The sequence below is a fragment of the Homo sapiens genome, chromosome X (assembly GCF_000001405.40).
Source record: "Homo sapiens chromosome X, GRCh38.p14 Primary Assembly".
In the NCBI taxonomy this organism is placed as follows: Eukaryota; Metazoa; Chordata; class Mammalia; order Primates; family Hominidae; genus Homo; species Homo sapiens.
The window spans coordinates 29,747,044-29,764,307 of NC_000023.11; the positions used below are offsets into that span (position 1 = coordinate 29,747,044).

Below are 17,264 nucleotides of genomic sequence, written 5' to 3' on the forward strand. Positions count from 1 at the left end.
TTGTTGAAATAGCCATATGATCAGACTTCACACACAAAGGCTGAACTGAGTTGAGGTAATTCAGGATAGAACCCACTGGATAATCAAGCACATAATATTGGCTTTAATTATGTAGCTGTTTCAGAATTGAGAGGTGATGAAGGGACTCAAACAGCTTGATGCTCTGGCTACTGGGCTGTTTGGATGGCTATGTGCTCTTTGCTCTTACTCCATTGTGAATTTCTGAAGCCAGGACAGCCTTAATTAGATGTGAGTCTGATATGATAAATATGTTGCTATGGTGAATATGAATGTTTCATACAACAATATTTCATGCCAATTAACAGTAAATTCCAAATACTTTGCCAATAAAATTGAAAATACCATTATTCCATTGGCCTGTCCATGATGGCATAAATAATGCATATTTGTTTATTTATCAAGAGGGCTCTTATTGAACACCCTGAGCTTTCTAACAGTTATCTCCCTTGTGCAGTGTGCCAGCTCATTAGGAAGACTAAAGTCACAGTGGAGTCATCCTGAAATGACTTCAACACAAATTCCATGTAAAAAGATTTTTGGAGAGCCATCTGTCCCGGGGTCTAGGTTATCTTTTGGAAATTGGAACTAAATGGATGAAAAGTATAGAAATGCTTTGGTCTTCCAAATACTTTCTTAATCACCTCTAATTGTAAAAAGAGGAAAAAGTGGCTTTAAGAAAAAATAGCAAATTAAATTAATTCATAAGCTATTTTGTATGATACAGGAGACAGACATTTATAAAAGTAATTGTGCTTAGTTATCTTATTGCAAGCCTTCATCTCCACATTTGACTTCACTGGCAAATGCGGCAACTTACAAAACAAATCAGGCCATTTCAACGCTAGTACTACAGAGCTTGTTTTTCTCCCCCAATCTTAAAGAGACTTCATGGATATTTTAATGTTAGATTTTACAATTTAACATATTAAGATATGATTACTAAAGACTAATTCTTGTCTCTGCTACCTCCATGATTTCATTACTGTCATGTGCCGTTGGGACGCTTATAAAGCCAGAAACAACTGTAGCAGAATGTGTAGATTACATGCCATTAGTTTCACTGTTCATAATGCCGAGCATATTCCAGAGTATGTGCTGAATGCCTCCAACCTTCATGAAGATATCCTTTTTCCTTTTTTCCATAAAAAGACATCATTGATGGCAACTAGTATAATGGACAGATCATTCAAAAAGCACATTTGATCATCAAACATTTTCCAGGTACCAAAAACTTTCTGGAAACACACAATAGAATTTAAACCTAGTAAGAAGGCTGGATGTGAACATATTGAACTCTAAGCCAATAAAATGTACAATAATAGAGGTATGCAATTAGTATATGGAGACACAGTTGATGATGCCATTAATTTTTCTTTGGGAGGTAATAATTATAACATCTAATCTTAACTGAGTAATTACTGTGGGTCACATTCTGCTTTAAGTGCTTTAAATGTACTAACAGAGTGAGAGGGAATGGATATTATTTCCATGTTTTTAGACTCTAAGATATAATGCATCTTATCCAAAGCCATGGGGCTAGTTGGCAGTGGAGCTAACATTTTAACTCGGGAAATATGGGTCCAAAACCTAGGTTTTTGGCCCCCAGGCCATACTGCCTTTCTGTTTTAGAGTCATCTAAGAAAAGTCTGGAGACAAATTGATATTTTTGTTAAAATCTAAAATATGAAGATGACTTCATCATTTAAAGAAAGAGTAGGAAGAGAATTTAAACAAAGGACATATAGTGAGCAAAATTAGGAAGAAATATGGGTCCAAAACCTAGGTTTTTGGCCCCCAGGCCATACTGCCTTTCTGTTTTAGAGTCATCTAAAAAAAAGTCATCTAAGAAAAGTCTGGAGACAGATTGATATTTTTGTTAAAATCTAAAATATGAAGATGACTTCATCATTTAAAGAAAGAATAGAAAGAGAATTTAAACAAAGGACATATAGTGAGCAAAATGAGGAAGAAATGAAAGGGAGAATAAATTGATGGGAAGTTGCCCAAAGTTTGAGTTGCTAAATTGGAGGGCATGCAGGAAGCAGCATGGGAATGAAATTGTAAAGGGAGATGGAGCCCAGACTAGGAGTCACCTTGTAGGCCATGAAATAGGATTTGGGCCTGTTCTGTGGGATCCCTTAGGGGATATTGTTATACTCACTCTTAACATTATACTGACTCCCTAGCCAGGTCAAAGTACAATTTAAGCTGCCAATGAAATATATTGGCTTTAAATTTTTGTCACCATTTTTAAAGTGTAGTGTGGAACTGAAACATTATATAAACATTGTATAGACAAAAGAAACCATCTATTCTAAATATTCTTAAGCTGTTTGAATAATGATTGGTCTAAATGTATTCCTTTCACATAAATTATATAAACTCCCTTTGAAATGATGTATGAGTTAAATAAGCAATTTTTATGTTAAAAAGTTCAGTAATTTTAAAAATGAAAATGCTCTTACTGAAGCCTCCAAATCATGCATACTATATACAATCTTTTATGTTGTAAATGTCCATGATAAAAGAAAACAAACAAAACAAGACATCAGCACCACCACCAATAAAATTTCAATCAGAAGGGATCACTTGGTTTGAAACTTTATGCAGCTCTCAGATAGCCAGACTTTCTTTGTCAAAAACATTCAATACAATGTTTAGGAAGTGTCGTGTTTAACAGAAAACATCATGTGCTAATATTAATTTGGAAAATTCTATGTGGTGGCTGACACCCTACAGTGTTCCAGTCTCTTGGAAGCTATTCGGGAATAGTGAGTGTTCCTTCTAACTGTTTTATGTGGGGGTATGTGGAATCTTCTAATCTCCAAAGCCACTAGGCTTCTATCCTGACTCTTATTTCCTGATATATGGACCCTCTTCTTAACTCTGGAGTGTTGGACTTTCTCTTTTCTGCCCTTCACTGGTGGCTTGGTTTAGTTTTCTGGTAACTGCATTTCTTCCTGAGCACATCCAGAATCTTCTCAGAGGAGGCAATCATTCCATTCTTTCCTTGTGACACCTCAATTCTCCATCTCCTTACCCAAAGAGCCTCCTTTATGTGTCACTTTCCCTTTGAAATTATCTTTTCTTTCTTAGAAAACTTTTCGTTTCTATTTTAAGAAAAGCTGGGTAACGTAAGAACATGAAACATTAAGAGGCAGATGGTAAATTGATTAGACATAAGATGCTTCGTATTTGTATCCTCTGTCCTGTTTTCCACTTTTTCTTCAGAAAGTAGTCCGTGACTTTGTATTCATAGCTGTTTTTCACTTTACATATCAAGAACCAATGTTTGGGAAACAAATAATTGTGAGTAAGTGGTTATATTGAGTTGCATATCAGAAGATATTTAATTTTATAGGTTAAATTTATAATATGAATTGCTATGGTATAATTTTGAGAAAAAAAATCATTTTTAGTCATTACAAATATTTATTAATGGCCACACTAGGAAACAAAGATTATGAGCCTCATATAGGATACATTTTTTGAACTTGCAAAGGAATACACCATATTTCATTAGGTCAGTAGGTCTTTCCCTCCTTAGGTATTGATACGCCTACAAGTGTAATGACGTGGCATTTATAATTTGGTAAAAATAATTAAAGTTCATTTTTGTGAACAACTTAGTTTTTAACCAATTAGAATCTACTTAGATACATTCTATAATTACATCACCCTAAGATATTTACAATCTGATCAATGCTATTTTTCATGAGGAAGAGTGATAGAATTAGAGCCACAGTCTAGCTGATGTAATTATAGCCATGGAACGAAACATATGTGCCTGCCATTTATCTCAGGTATCTCATTGAAAAAAAGGATGAGAAAAGCTGATCCAGAGTAGGTCACTAAGCATCATCCATAAATTGAGAATTGGTTCTCAAACAATAACTTTGAATCAGCAGAAATCCAGTGTTTGCTAAAAGCTATACATGAAGAGTTAAAGTAGTTGATCCCCTCAACTCTAGTCTCTGCTTATTTTTATATTAAAAGTCAAATGCTTGCTTTGTTCTGAAATTAATATACATATACACACATATATACATATATATATACACATATGAAATATAACATGAATATGTGGATTATATCAGAGCAAGTCATCATCTAAAACTAGATTCTAGCTAATATTTCAGCAAATATGGGCTAAAAACCTATGTGGCCACAAAATATTGATACAGCTGTGAATAAATTAGGTATAATTCCTTCTAAAATTTTCAGTCTACAGTGGAGACAGCCATTAAATAAATTATCATGTACTAACCAAAATAAATAACTGCTTATCATTACTGAATTTCTGATGTTCTTGCAAAAACAATTTGAAAAACTATATGTATAAATTTACTACTGAATATGGTAGTCATCCTTTAAAAGACAATTTAATGGCTTCTTGGCCTTTTGGCTAAGATCAAGTATAGTATCTGTTCTTATCCATTTAAAAGACAATCTACCATAATACCTGAGGAAGAACATATATTTTATAATAACATAAATATAATACGTGTTCTCAAATAAAAATTAAGCCTTCTAACAAGTGATTTTACTTTTAGGCACGTAACTTCAAAAATATGGAAAAATGGACGCTGGGTGTGGTGGCCCAAACCTATAATCCCAGTGTTTTGGGAGGCCGAGGTGGGAAGATCACTTGAGGCCAGGAGTTTGAGACCAGCCTGGGTAACATAGTGAGACCCCATCTCTACCAAATTATTTTTTAATTAGCTGGGTGTGGTGGTTCACACCTGTAGTCCTATCTACCTGGGAGGCTAAGGCAGGTGGATCACTTGAACCCAGGAATTTCAGGTTGTAGTGAGCTGTGATCACACAGCTGTGCTCCAGCCTGGACAACAGAGTGAGACCTTGTCTCTCAAAAAAACATGAAAAAATGTAACTACCTATATCTATATATCATATATATGTGTGTGTATATATATACACACACATATATATATGATAATATGTAACTACCTATATCTATCTATTTTATATATATATATGTATATATATGTGTGTATGTATATATATATATATATATATATACACACATATATATATTAGGTCCCACAGATGTACAAATTTTTAATGTACTTTTATTGTAAATAAACACTGCTGGATTTATATATCAAAAATATTGCTGATTAAGACTTGATGGCCCGGGCGCAGGGGCTCACACCTGTAATCCCAGCACTTTGGGAGGCCGAGGCAGGTGGGTCACAAGGTCAGGAGATCGAGAACATCCTGGCCAACATGGTGAAACCCTGTCTCTACTAAAAATACAAAAATTAGTCAGGCGTTGCGGCATGCGCCTGTAGTCCCAGCTACTCAGGAGGCTGAGGCAGGAGAATCGCTTGAACCCAGGAGGCGGAGGTTGCAGTGAGCCGAGATTGCGCCACTGCACTCCAGCCTGGGCGACAAATCGAGACTTTGTCTCAAAAAAAAAAAAAAAAAAAGACTTGATAGACATTAGAAAGTTAACTGAGGGAAGTCATCAAATCCACTTCCTTAAATAGGTAAGATTCTCCTTCGATGGTGCTAATTCCTTTGAGAATACTTGAATGAAAGGAGATGAGCGTTCATGTATTATTTGAATACTGAATCAATGCTTTCCTGAGTAACCTTGGTGATATGGTCCTTCCACATCTGAGAGTTTATTTTGCATCCCCAGATATTCTACCTTCATTGCAATTTTTCCTCCAATTGGTTTAGAAATGGTACAGAGGAAAGTTAGTAAAAGTAATCACTCTAAAAGTGAGTCATTTATTCTTTTATCCTATGTAAGTAAAAGAACTGAAAATCAAGCAGTTAGCTTTACCCTGTGGTCTCAAACATATGAGTTAAAAGACATAATAAAAACTATCAATGTGTCCAATATATTTGTCCTTAGCATCATTAATCTATTCCTTGTAAGGTTGGAGTTTATAAAATGAGACTCCATAAAGAGAGAGATACCTAGTCTAAATCAAAGTGTGTGCGTTATGACATAGTAGAATATATTGATAAGTTAACTGAAATCAGGTAATTGCGGGTAGATTGGCTTAACATGTCCAAAACATTCTGTGTAAGTTAAATGACTGGTAAGTAAAATGGTGGGACTCATGAAAGTTAATTTAATTATATCAGTCAAAAATACATAAAATAATTTCAATACTGTTACAACCTCACTCTAGTAGGTGTTTCTCAGAGGCACTTGCTTCATTGTTTATTTGTCATCATTCCTAATAAACATATATTTGAGTTCATGTCATCTAAAAATAAATGGCCTACCCTACAGAGACATGGAAAACTGATGTAGGCATACACTCACCCAACATTTAATGACCTGAATCCATCTCAATGACTTCCTTTTCTATTCAAATAACCAGTTTGGAATTTGATTTACTAAAATTAACTTTTGTGGTATTGTTTCAACAAAGGACAGCCTTTTGTGTGACAACCTATAATATTTAGCTACTAAAAGACCTACCATATTTCTCTCCCACTGAGAATTATTTGTTATCTAATATCACTTATAGACTTCATGTAAATCAAATAATTATTTCTGGCTCTGCATGGTGTAAGGATGATTAAAAACTTGTCAAGCTATCAGAAGAATAAGGCCACTTCCCAGCATGGAATGACATTATTTATTCTAGGTCCAATGATTGGTACCAGAACTGACCCTTAATAATAATATTTATGACATGGGGGTGGGAGGGGAGAAACCATTTAGAATGATTAGTCTTATCACAATCCTAAGGCATTAGAATTTTCAAAAGTGCTGAAATAATTGTGCAACTTTAAGGAAATGTATAAGAAGGTAGCTAAATTATCACTGAAGTTAGTGAACACTATGCAGTGCTAATCATGTATGGCTTCTCAAAAGCATTTAACACTCTTGACAACTGTCCTCTTGAGATGCTGTACCTACTTCCCTCTCTGTTCTTCAACTTTTTCTCTATTCATTTGCTGTCTCTTTGGCTGTTTCTCTGTATTTTGTTCCTCCATTACATATTTGAATCCTGTGATTTGTCATGCATTATCTTTGCTTTTCATTTTATGTGCTGTTCTGGAAAATTCTACTCCTTCAAGTGCGTTTACTGCTTTTCATATATTCTTTAGGCAAGATCTTTTTCTTGACCTTCAGGCCCATATCAGCACACCAGGAGAAATCTCCCACTGATAACTCAGATTCATCCTGGATAAATTGATCTCATTATCTGTCATTCAAAACTGGCTTTTCATAATATATGGCTCCAAAATTCTTATAGTCATGTAGCAAAATTCCTGGGAGTTATTCTCCCTCACAGTCCCATCCATTAAAATCTGATAAGTGAACTGAAATGCTACTCAAAACTCTATTCTGGGTCTTCTTTCCCCACTACCCTGACTCATGTTCCCATTACCTGTCCATTATCACCATTCCAAAAGACTCTCTGCCTGAATTCTTGCACATCTATAATCCAGCTTCCCAAGTGTGTTTTTTTAATACACAGAAACGATTAGCCGCAACAGCCTTTAACAATACAAGACTGCCTGAAGTCCAAACATACTAACTTGACATAAGTATCCTTTGTGGTCATATGTTGAGCCTCCTTTCCAGCCTCCTTTAGCTTGGTCACCTTTGTGCTCTAAGTTTCAGCTATACTATGCTACCAAGGCATAGCAGGATGTTTCACACCTATATGCATGAGCATGATGTGTATGTGCATGGACACATATGTTTTACACAATTCTCACTGCTTATAAAACACACTGCATCAGCTGTCTATTGTTACGTAACAAATTAGCACACATTTAATGGCTTAAAACAATACACATTTATTATTTCACAATTTCTGTAGGTTAGAAACCTGGGCATGGCCATGCTGGGTCCTTTGCTTCACAGTGTCTCATAGATGGCAATAAAGGTGTCAGTCAGGACTACAGTCTCATCTGAGGGCTCAACCGGGGAAGGATCTGCTTCTATATTCACTCAGTGGTTGTTGGCAGAATTTAGTTTCTCAAGGCCTTAATTCCTAACTAGGTGTTGGCCAGAGGCCTTTTTCAGTTCCTTACTACAAGGGCTTCTCTATAGGCAGCTGCCTCATAAGTATGGCAGCTGCTTCACCAAAGCCAACAGTGAAGAGAGTCTTTTAGCAAGATGAAGTTCACAATCTTACATAACCTAATCACTACAGTGATATTCCATCATCTTTGACATTTTCTATTTTGTAGGCAACTAGGTTTAGCCCACTCTGAACAAGTTGGAATTACACAAAGATGCAACTATTAGGAGGCTGGGATTATGAGGAGCCATTTCAGAATCGACCACACCCACCAACCCCACCTTCCTTTACCCCCATCAACCTGACAACACCTGCTCAAATTATTGAAGACTCATGTGACTTACCAAGACCTCAGTTTTTCAATATTTCCCAACAAACCCACCATGAAGTTGGTTACTCCTTTCTTCATACTCCCAGTACACCTCCAATATTATTTTTCAATTATTGTTTACATAGTTTTCTCTCCCGTCAATACTTTGAGAACAAAAAATGTAGTGTGTTATTTTCTACTCTCTGGTAAGATCAGTCCAAAGAAAGTGCTCATTAAATGTTGAATAATAATTGTTTAAAGTAAATAAAACCACAGATATTAAATACATAAAATTATCTGGAAACAGGTAATTACCCCAGGGATAATTGACAGCTAACGATGTGCTTAACATCTGAATGTATCATTTACTTTAGTTAGAGTACACATGGTAATCTTTTGTGAGTGACATCACAAAGTGACAGATTCGGATGTCTCTATTATTTTTAAATTCTTTCAAATGAGAAACAACTATAAAATGAAATGCGATGTGGATAATATAGTATAGTGGTTAAGATCACTGGCTTTAGCATCAGTCAATGGGATCAAATCCCACTTCTACCACTTATTAACTGTATGGTTTTGGACAAGTTACTTTAACCTCTCTGTTCCTTTCTTTACTGGTCTGTGAAATGGGGTCTGAAATTGCACCTACCTCATAGGGCTGTTATAAAGATTAAATACAATTATTTATGGAAAGCAGTTAATAAAGACCTAGTGTGTATTTGACTCTCAGTAAATGTCAATCATTATTATCTCCTAGTATACTGAAATAGAAAGATGTCCATAATATGAAACTTGGAGAGATGTATGTAAGTTGTTAATTATCTTTAATATATACATAGATATATACAGTTAATTCATCTATATGTTTGTATATGGGAAAATTGGGAAGTATACACAGATTTTTAATAATGATTATTTCCAGGAATTAGGGAAGAGGTGAGGGTGGATAACTTTATTTTTTTATTTTGCAGATTATTGTATTATTTGAATTATTCTAAATAAGCATATATCACCTTTCTCTTTTTTTTGAGACGGAGTTTCACTCTTGTCTCCCATACTGGGGTGCAGTGGTACTATCTTGGCTCACTGGAACCTCTGCCTCCCAGGTTCAAGCGATTCTCCTGTCTCAGCCTCCCGAGTAGCTGGGATTACAGGCGCCCACCACCATGCCAGACTTATTTTTGTAGTTTTAATAGAGACGGGGTTTCACCATGTTGGCCAGGCTGGTCTCGAACTCCCGACCTCAGGTGATCCACCCATCTCGGCCTCCCAAAGTGCCGGGATTACAGGCATGAGCCACCATGCCCGGTCGCATATATCACTTTTATAATCTGTTATGGATTGGATATATTCGTCCAAAAAGATATGTTGAAATCCTAACCCCAGAATGTTACTTTCTTTGGAAATAAGGACATTAGAGACATAATTAGTTAAGGTGAGGTTATGCTGGTGTAGGGTGGGCCCTAATTCAGTATGATTAGTGTCCTTATAAGAAGAGACATCTAGACACATAGGAGAGAACACCACTGGGTAATGAAGCCAGTGATTGAGTGCTGCAGCTGCAAGCCAAGGAATGCCAAGGATTGCTGACAGAGCACCAGAAGCTAAGAAGAGGCAAGGAAGGATTCCCCTACATGTTTCAAAGGGATCGTGGTTCCGCCAACACCTTGATTTGGACTCCTAACCTCCAGAACTATGAGCCAATACATGTCTGTTGTTTTAAGCCACTTAGTTTGTGGTTCTTTGCTACTGCAGGCCCAGAAAACTAACAGATAGCCAAAATAAATTAATTAATATTTTTAAGTATATACAAAAAAGAAGAGAAAAGACAGGCAGTTGCATAGCTCATAAAATTATAATCTCTTGAAGTTGAAGCTTCAGGTTCATTTTGACTCTTACCTCTCCGGCCATGCCAATAGAATTATTAGTTTTTGACATCCCAGCCAAATATTTGACAAGCAGTTCATAAACTAATGGGAAGTGCTAAGAAATATAATATGGAGCTATTTCTTTCTATTCTGTTCCTCCATGAAATTTCTTCTATCCAATTTCCAATCATGCAAATCGTATCAAGAAGGCAAGTGATCCAAGGGTTAAGCAACATTTGATTGGCTGCTGTGACTGCATGTATCTAAAGAGAAATAGAAAGCAATTTGACTACGGTATGTGACTCAAGTGATATGTGTTTTAGATAAGTAATTAGAAACAAAACAAAAAGTCAATTAGTTTCTAGCCTGTCCTTCAACTGTTTAAAATATTATAGCAATAAAACTAATGGAGAGTTTTTTCCTAACTACATCAAAGTTATTAAAATGTAGAGTCAATTAGAAAAAAAATATAAGAATGTACATTCATAATTGTTGAATACTAACAACTCATATCAAATGGACAAACTGTTTGACACCAATATATGTGGGAAAGGTCAGGGCTTCTAAAGAAATGTTTCTTTAATGATGAAACTTTCCAATTTTAATTTTTTTTAATTAGCATCTTATAGACGGAGGAAGAAGAGGGTCAAAAACAAAGAACTTTTTCTTGTCTTAATATGTATAGCCATGGAAGATGGCAGAAGGGAGTGAAAAAATTCAATCAATCATTTTTATAAATAAAACAAATGGAGAAAGCAGTGGAACCAGTAACCCCAATAATGGATCCTATATTATTATTTATTTTATTTGCCTATCTCTTTCACAGATATCTAGCTATTCATCAAGTAGACATTCCCTCCAAGGCACAAAGAAACACTGAAGTTTTAATCTACCATTGTTTAATTCTTTCTTCTGGCAGAAATACTTGTGTTCATAAGAAACTTTCCAAATTAATTAAACTTGTTTAAGGTTGATACTGGCCAGAGACTTTCCTGTCTTCCAATTTAAGAGATTTTGATGAACATATGAGAATTACATTACAAAATATGGCAAGACGGGGAAAGAAAATAGAAGAGGTGAAAGAAAGGAGAGGGAATGAAAGGAGGAAGAAAGAAGAAAGAAAACTGAAAATGGAAATACAGGCCAGACGCAGTGGCTCACGCCTGTAATCCCAGCACTTTGGGAAGCTGAGGCAGGTGGATCACCTGCGGTCAGGAATTTGAGACCAGCCTGACCAACATGGTGAAACCCCCGTCTCTACTAAAAAATTACAAAAATTATGCGAGTATGGTGGTATGTGCCCATAATCCGAGCTACTTGGGAGGCTGAGGCAGGAGAATTGCTTGAGCCCTGGAGGCGGAGGTTGCAGTGAGCCGAGATCACGCCATTGCACTCCAGCCTGTGCAACAAGAGCAAAACTCTTCTCAAAAAAAAAAAAATAATAATAATAATACAAATTTTCTCTCATTCATTTCACAAATGTCAAGTATTGGCCATTATTCCTAATGTAAAAAACAAAACAAAACAAAAAAACAAAACAAACAAACAAAAAATACCCACCGTGTTTCACATTGTTCTGAAGTAGTTACTGTTGGTTATTATTGAGAGTGCAAACCACCCATGCTTCCTCTTGGGCTAATGCAGAGGTTAAACAGCCTGAGAATTACCTGCACCATGGAAATGTATTCTGGGGTTAATAAGAACAAAGTGTCCATCTTTGAGTTATTTTAACAACTAAACCCTAGAGACCAGAGATAAACTAAAGGAGAATAAAGAAATATAATTACATTGGACAGTAATGTCATGAAGAGTTAATTAATTAGGATTCAATGAGTCATAACTTATTTTGAAGATGTGGCATTTTAGAAAACCACCTAGCTTCATTCATATTACCCTCAGACATTAAAGGTGTAATTGTTGTCATTAGCATTTTAATTGGTCCTGTAATTTAATGGTTATACACGTGGTTGTTGTAAGGTCTTTTAAGCTGTTGGGATTTTAATATTTGACATGTAGCTTGAAAAAATAATTATGACATTTCCCAGATCTGAGGTTGGCCTTTGCAGTTAATGACAACACTGCGTTTTCAAAATGGTTATTATTGATAGTACAAATACTCAAATGGCCTACAGAGCTACCTTCATCTGTACCATAGTTCTTTTTTTTGGAGATCACTGGGATTATCTAATCAGACCAACACTGCCACCATATTTAAGCAGTATGTAATGTATGGTAGATATATTGCAAAATGCCAAAAGAAAAGCACTTGTAGTAGTTTCTACTTGGAAAACAGTATTGTTACTAAAAGTTATGGCAGAAATAATATTTTATTAACTGTAGGCCTTGATTGTCTTGATTGCAAATGCTAGGTACTATATTATGCACACAGCTTGAAATGTATGTGGCACAATGAATAAAAGCTTACTTTCCTAAAATATAAAATGATTGAGGAATTTGATGATCACATTTAAATATTTTCAAAAAGGGTTATTTTCTACCCAGCAGTAGAATAATTGATAGATAATTACAAAAGAGGCTATGCCAAAATTATTGCTAGGCCCTTTATATTGAGACAATGGTCTTTATATAGTGTTTGATGAGAAATCTATCATTTCCCTTGGGGTAATGGCCAGTTATTTACCACCGTAACAACTTAAATGACTCTGTTTCTAGACTTCTAGTTAGGGGCACTTCTTAAATCTTGAAAATGGGGCAAAGCATAAATTTCTAAGATTTACTTGGTTGTCTTCACCCTTAGTACATGGGGTGAGTTTCAGCTTACAAACCTGGCCTCTCCTCTGAAACTAGCAAGGAAGAACCAAGTGTCACAATATAGCAGGAGCTCTTAATCCGTCTGCACAATCATTGCGAGATGGGGAGTGGATAGGCTTCCCAGTCAGTGCCTCTGATTTGATTGGTCCAGATCTGGGGTGTGGACAATTTCTTATAAAGCTCTCAAGGTGATTCTAATATGCATCCAGGGCTGAGAACCACTTCATTAGTGATTATTAGATCGGTTCTCAAAATACAGCCTAACATTGATGGACTCTGTCGATGGCAATATCCTGGTTGTGATATCGTAGTATGGTTTTGCAAGAGGTTACCACCAGAAACAATTGGGTAAAGGGTACGTGGAATAGACTCTGTCTGTATTATCTCCTAGAACTGCATGCAATTCTACAGTTATTTCAAAATAAAAAAGTTTAACTTATTTGTTAATAGTCTGCCAGTGAACTCCATTAAACTTACTTGTGACTCTTAAAAGATGCAGACTTTTGGGCCCCATCACAGGTCTAGCAAATCGGAATACCTGTGGGTATGTCCTGGAATCTACATTTTTAAACAAGCTCACCAGGTGATTTTGCTGAAACACTGATTTAGCTACTTACATGTTTAGGTTTTGAGTAATACTGGGCACCTGGACAGTCCTAGGTAAGTGAGAATTAGGCAAACTGGCACACTAAGTTCCCTGCCCTATTCAGTATTCTGCTATTCCTGCTACACTTGTCTTAAAAAAATAGGATTTCATATACCAAGGTGTTATGATGATACTAAGGCACACTAATGCATAAAAATAATATATAATGAATTATTCAGTCATTCAACAATTTTTTTATTGAGTACCTATTATGTGCCAGGTACAGTTCTAAGCATTGCTTTTAAGAATGAGTATAAGAATAACATTTGTAAGCCTATCACCTCAGGCATTCTGATAGTACGTGGATTTCTTATTTAAGCTTCACAACCACCCTGATGTAGGTTCTTTTATTCTCCCCTCTTTGCACAAGAAAACACTGAAACAAGCTGTTTTATGTACATTGCTAAGGATCTAGAAGTAAAAACTTTGAATCTGAAATCAGATTTCGACTGTTTCTTTATGGTAAAATATACATAACATAAAGTTTACCTTTTTAACTATTTGAAGTGTACAGTTCAGTGACATTAAATACCTTCACACACTGTGCAACCATCACCACCATCAATCTCTAAAACTTCTCCATCTTTCCAAACAGAAATCCAGTACCTATTATACAATATCAGGGGCTGTTTTTATTATACAGTATATGACACCCCCCCACCAAAGAAACCTTTAATTGTAGAACTTTATACAAAAGGTAAAGAAAACAATTTGGGAGAAAAGCCTCTCGCCAGCATTTCTTCAATCACACAACATATTATAGAAAAGCTGCTGTGTGTAAGATCAGCCTTGATCTGGCTGTATTTTTATTGAATCTAAAAAAAAGTAATTATCAGAACTATTGTTATAACTTAACCCATTTGTGCTGCAATTGCTTCTCATTTGTGAAATAGACACTAATAAGGCATACTAATGGAATCTTTAGTGTGAGTATTTATTAAATCACTAATGTATGTGAAACACTTAGAACATTGCCTGGCATTTCCTCAGTCCACCCACCCAATCCCACCCACACACAGTCAAAAGTTAGTTCTTATTTCCCCGATTGTCAATTTTGTATATATCACTTGATGCACATCATTTTCCCACATCTTTGTCACTGATTGTTAGTTTTATCTAGTTCAGTAGCAAGCACAATATCTAACAACCTGAATTTATTTTTATTGTAATCATTTCAAAGAAATTAGAGTCAAATGTCCTCAACTGTATGTCTCCAGTAATTTCACTTAGAAAGTTTTTCAGGCACTGAATTCGTTCTTGAGAATAGAGTAGCATTCCCCTGTCTGTAATATTTGAGCAGAAAGGACATTGCTTCCATGAAGCCTTGTTTCTGTTCTTCTTCTGTTTGTTAGAAAATACTCTGTTGATGGCAAATTCGTGAGCAATCTAAATATATAATTAATTAGAAGAACAAATTGAAATTGACCAAATCTCTCAGAGCTTTGAACAAAAGGACTCTTCAAATGGTCAAAACAATTACTTAGAATTTAAGCGTTCATTGAAATGCGAGACAGTGTGCGGTAGAGATACAAAAGAGAAACCAGGCTCCCATGATATTGTAAATGCTAACCCTGCTCCTTAAGCAAACAAAAGTCTCTTTCTATTGTCAGTAGCTGTCTTCTAGGACAAATAGTTTGGTATTTTATAAAAGGGAGAAAAACTTATCAAAAACATTCCATGAAATGTACCTCTTTTGAAAAATTACTCCTTGAATTTGAGTTAAAGAATTCTTTAGAAGCCAAACTGCTGAGATGATTTATCTGCACAAAAGAAAACTACTGTTCAAGAAGCATATTTGAAGAATATGTCATTGCAAATCAAAGATTCTTTTAAAAATAAGTCTCAAAAGGAAGAGAGGGAGAGAGGGAGAAAGAGAAAGAGAGAGAAATATATAATTAAAGTCATAGGTAATTTAAGTTTGGAAATGAACATTCATTCACTACTTTGTTATATTGTCATATGGTGGTAAACAAAACAAAGCAATAATTTTGTCTGATTTTCTTCGCTAAGAAATGGAACCATTTATGAAGCTTAGCAACTGATGCGAATTTTGCTTTGATGGTAATTATGTAACAGAGTGGCAGGGGTTTCACTTCCAGATAAAGATGGACAATGAAGGTCAATTTCTATCCTGTCGTTTTGAATATTCAGTGCCAGCACAATTTAATTGGGATCAGGTAATTGCTCAGAAGGCTACACTGAGCCCACTATCATCCCTCAGTGTCGCTCCTGCACACCTACTTATCCTGATGTTGTTTGTCAAAAACTGTCACAAGGAATGTGTCTCACTGAGAAAAATAACCTGTTTGTCATTGCTCAGAGCTTCAAGACCATACTCTAAAGTGATAAGAAAAAGTTTTTTGTTTTTTTTTTTTTTGAGCAAAACTGTCTTGTCTCTGAACTGATTAAATTGGTCCATCATGGTAATATAAGGGAACATTTTAATGAAATAAATTATTTATGGGAGTTCAGTGATATTTGCTCTCCTAGCTCTTGTGCGATAGTATCAAGTGTACCTCTTACTCTCTTTTGGCATTGAAGGATATTATATTAGTCTTGAATATCTTTTGCAAAATATTATAAATTATGCAAGTAATAAATGTAAACATTGTTTTAAGAACTAGAGTATTGTGAATAAATTGCTAAAAATTTATCTTGTGATTTTTCTCATTGGCATTAGAGAGAAGCAGAAATTTAGAAACTAATTCGTATATAATGTGTGTTTGTATAATAAAAGGAAACTATGTGCTCAGGAACAGTCTGATGTCCTCAGAATGAAAATACTCATAGTAACAGTAACATACATATATGTAATGTGATTTATAAGGATTGCAACATTAAATGTTTGTTTGAATTGGCACTAGTAAATTTTAATTACCACCTATGACTTCTGACTTCTGTCTATTGATACGAGGACTAAAAGGATAGTTAATGTTATTATTAGTATTAATAAAAGTAATGTAAGTTTAGTATAAGATTTCTAATCTGTTCACCATAGACAATGAACCAAAGAGGAACTACTTTGTGCTACATTTTTATCTGTCTCAGGGCATAGGTTCAAGACAAGACAATTTCTAGTTTTGTAAAATGAAAGCAGTGATACAGAAGACACCTATTTCATTCCCTCAGATTAATAGTATATAATACTATATATTATATACTTTACACAAATGTTAGAATAAAAATGAAGAAATATTTAAAATGATAGGCTCACTACTATATTTAATAGCATTAATCCTCAAAGGCAGTATTTAATACATTAATTTCTTAATATGCGTGCATTGTGAATACATGAGAAAAAGGAAAAAAATTCTTTAAATGAGTTCCTGCAATTAATATCATCAAATGATGTAAATTACAGTTTTAAAACAAAAAAGCCCTTAAAGCGTGCTATGAATAAAGTAGGAAACAAATTAAATTTTAATCTTTATTATTATTAAAATAATCTTTGCATTGTTCTTTTTCTACTTGAAGTTTCAGTGGTTTTCATTGATAGTCATAAACTGGAGAGAAACTTGTGCCCACCTATGATACTCCAGAGGCACAAGACGCCAAGGCTTACTGTCTTCCAGCATTGCTTCCATTTTATGTCTGGAGGAGATAAGATATGGGTGTAGCTG

General features: G+C 35.1%; 1 protein-coding gene and 1 pseudogene across 3 annotated transcripts in view; both read left to right on the forward strand.

The window, feature by feature from the left end:
- The window catches only part of IL1RAPL1 (interleukin 1 receptor accessory protein like 1), a 1,369,273-nt gene that overhangs the window by 1,159,598 nt on the left and 192,411 nt on the right, over window positions 1–17,264 (forward strand). The window lies entirely within an intron of this gene.
- Window positions 4,407–4,516, forward strand: LOC124905284 (uncharacterized; annotated as a pseudogene).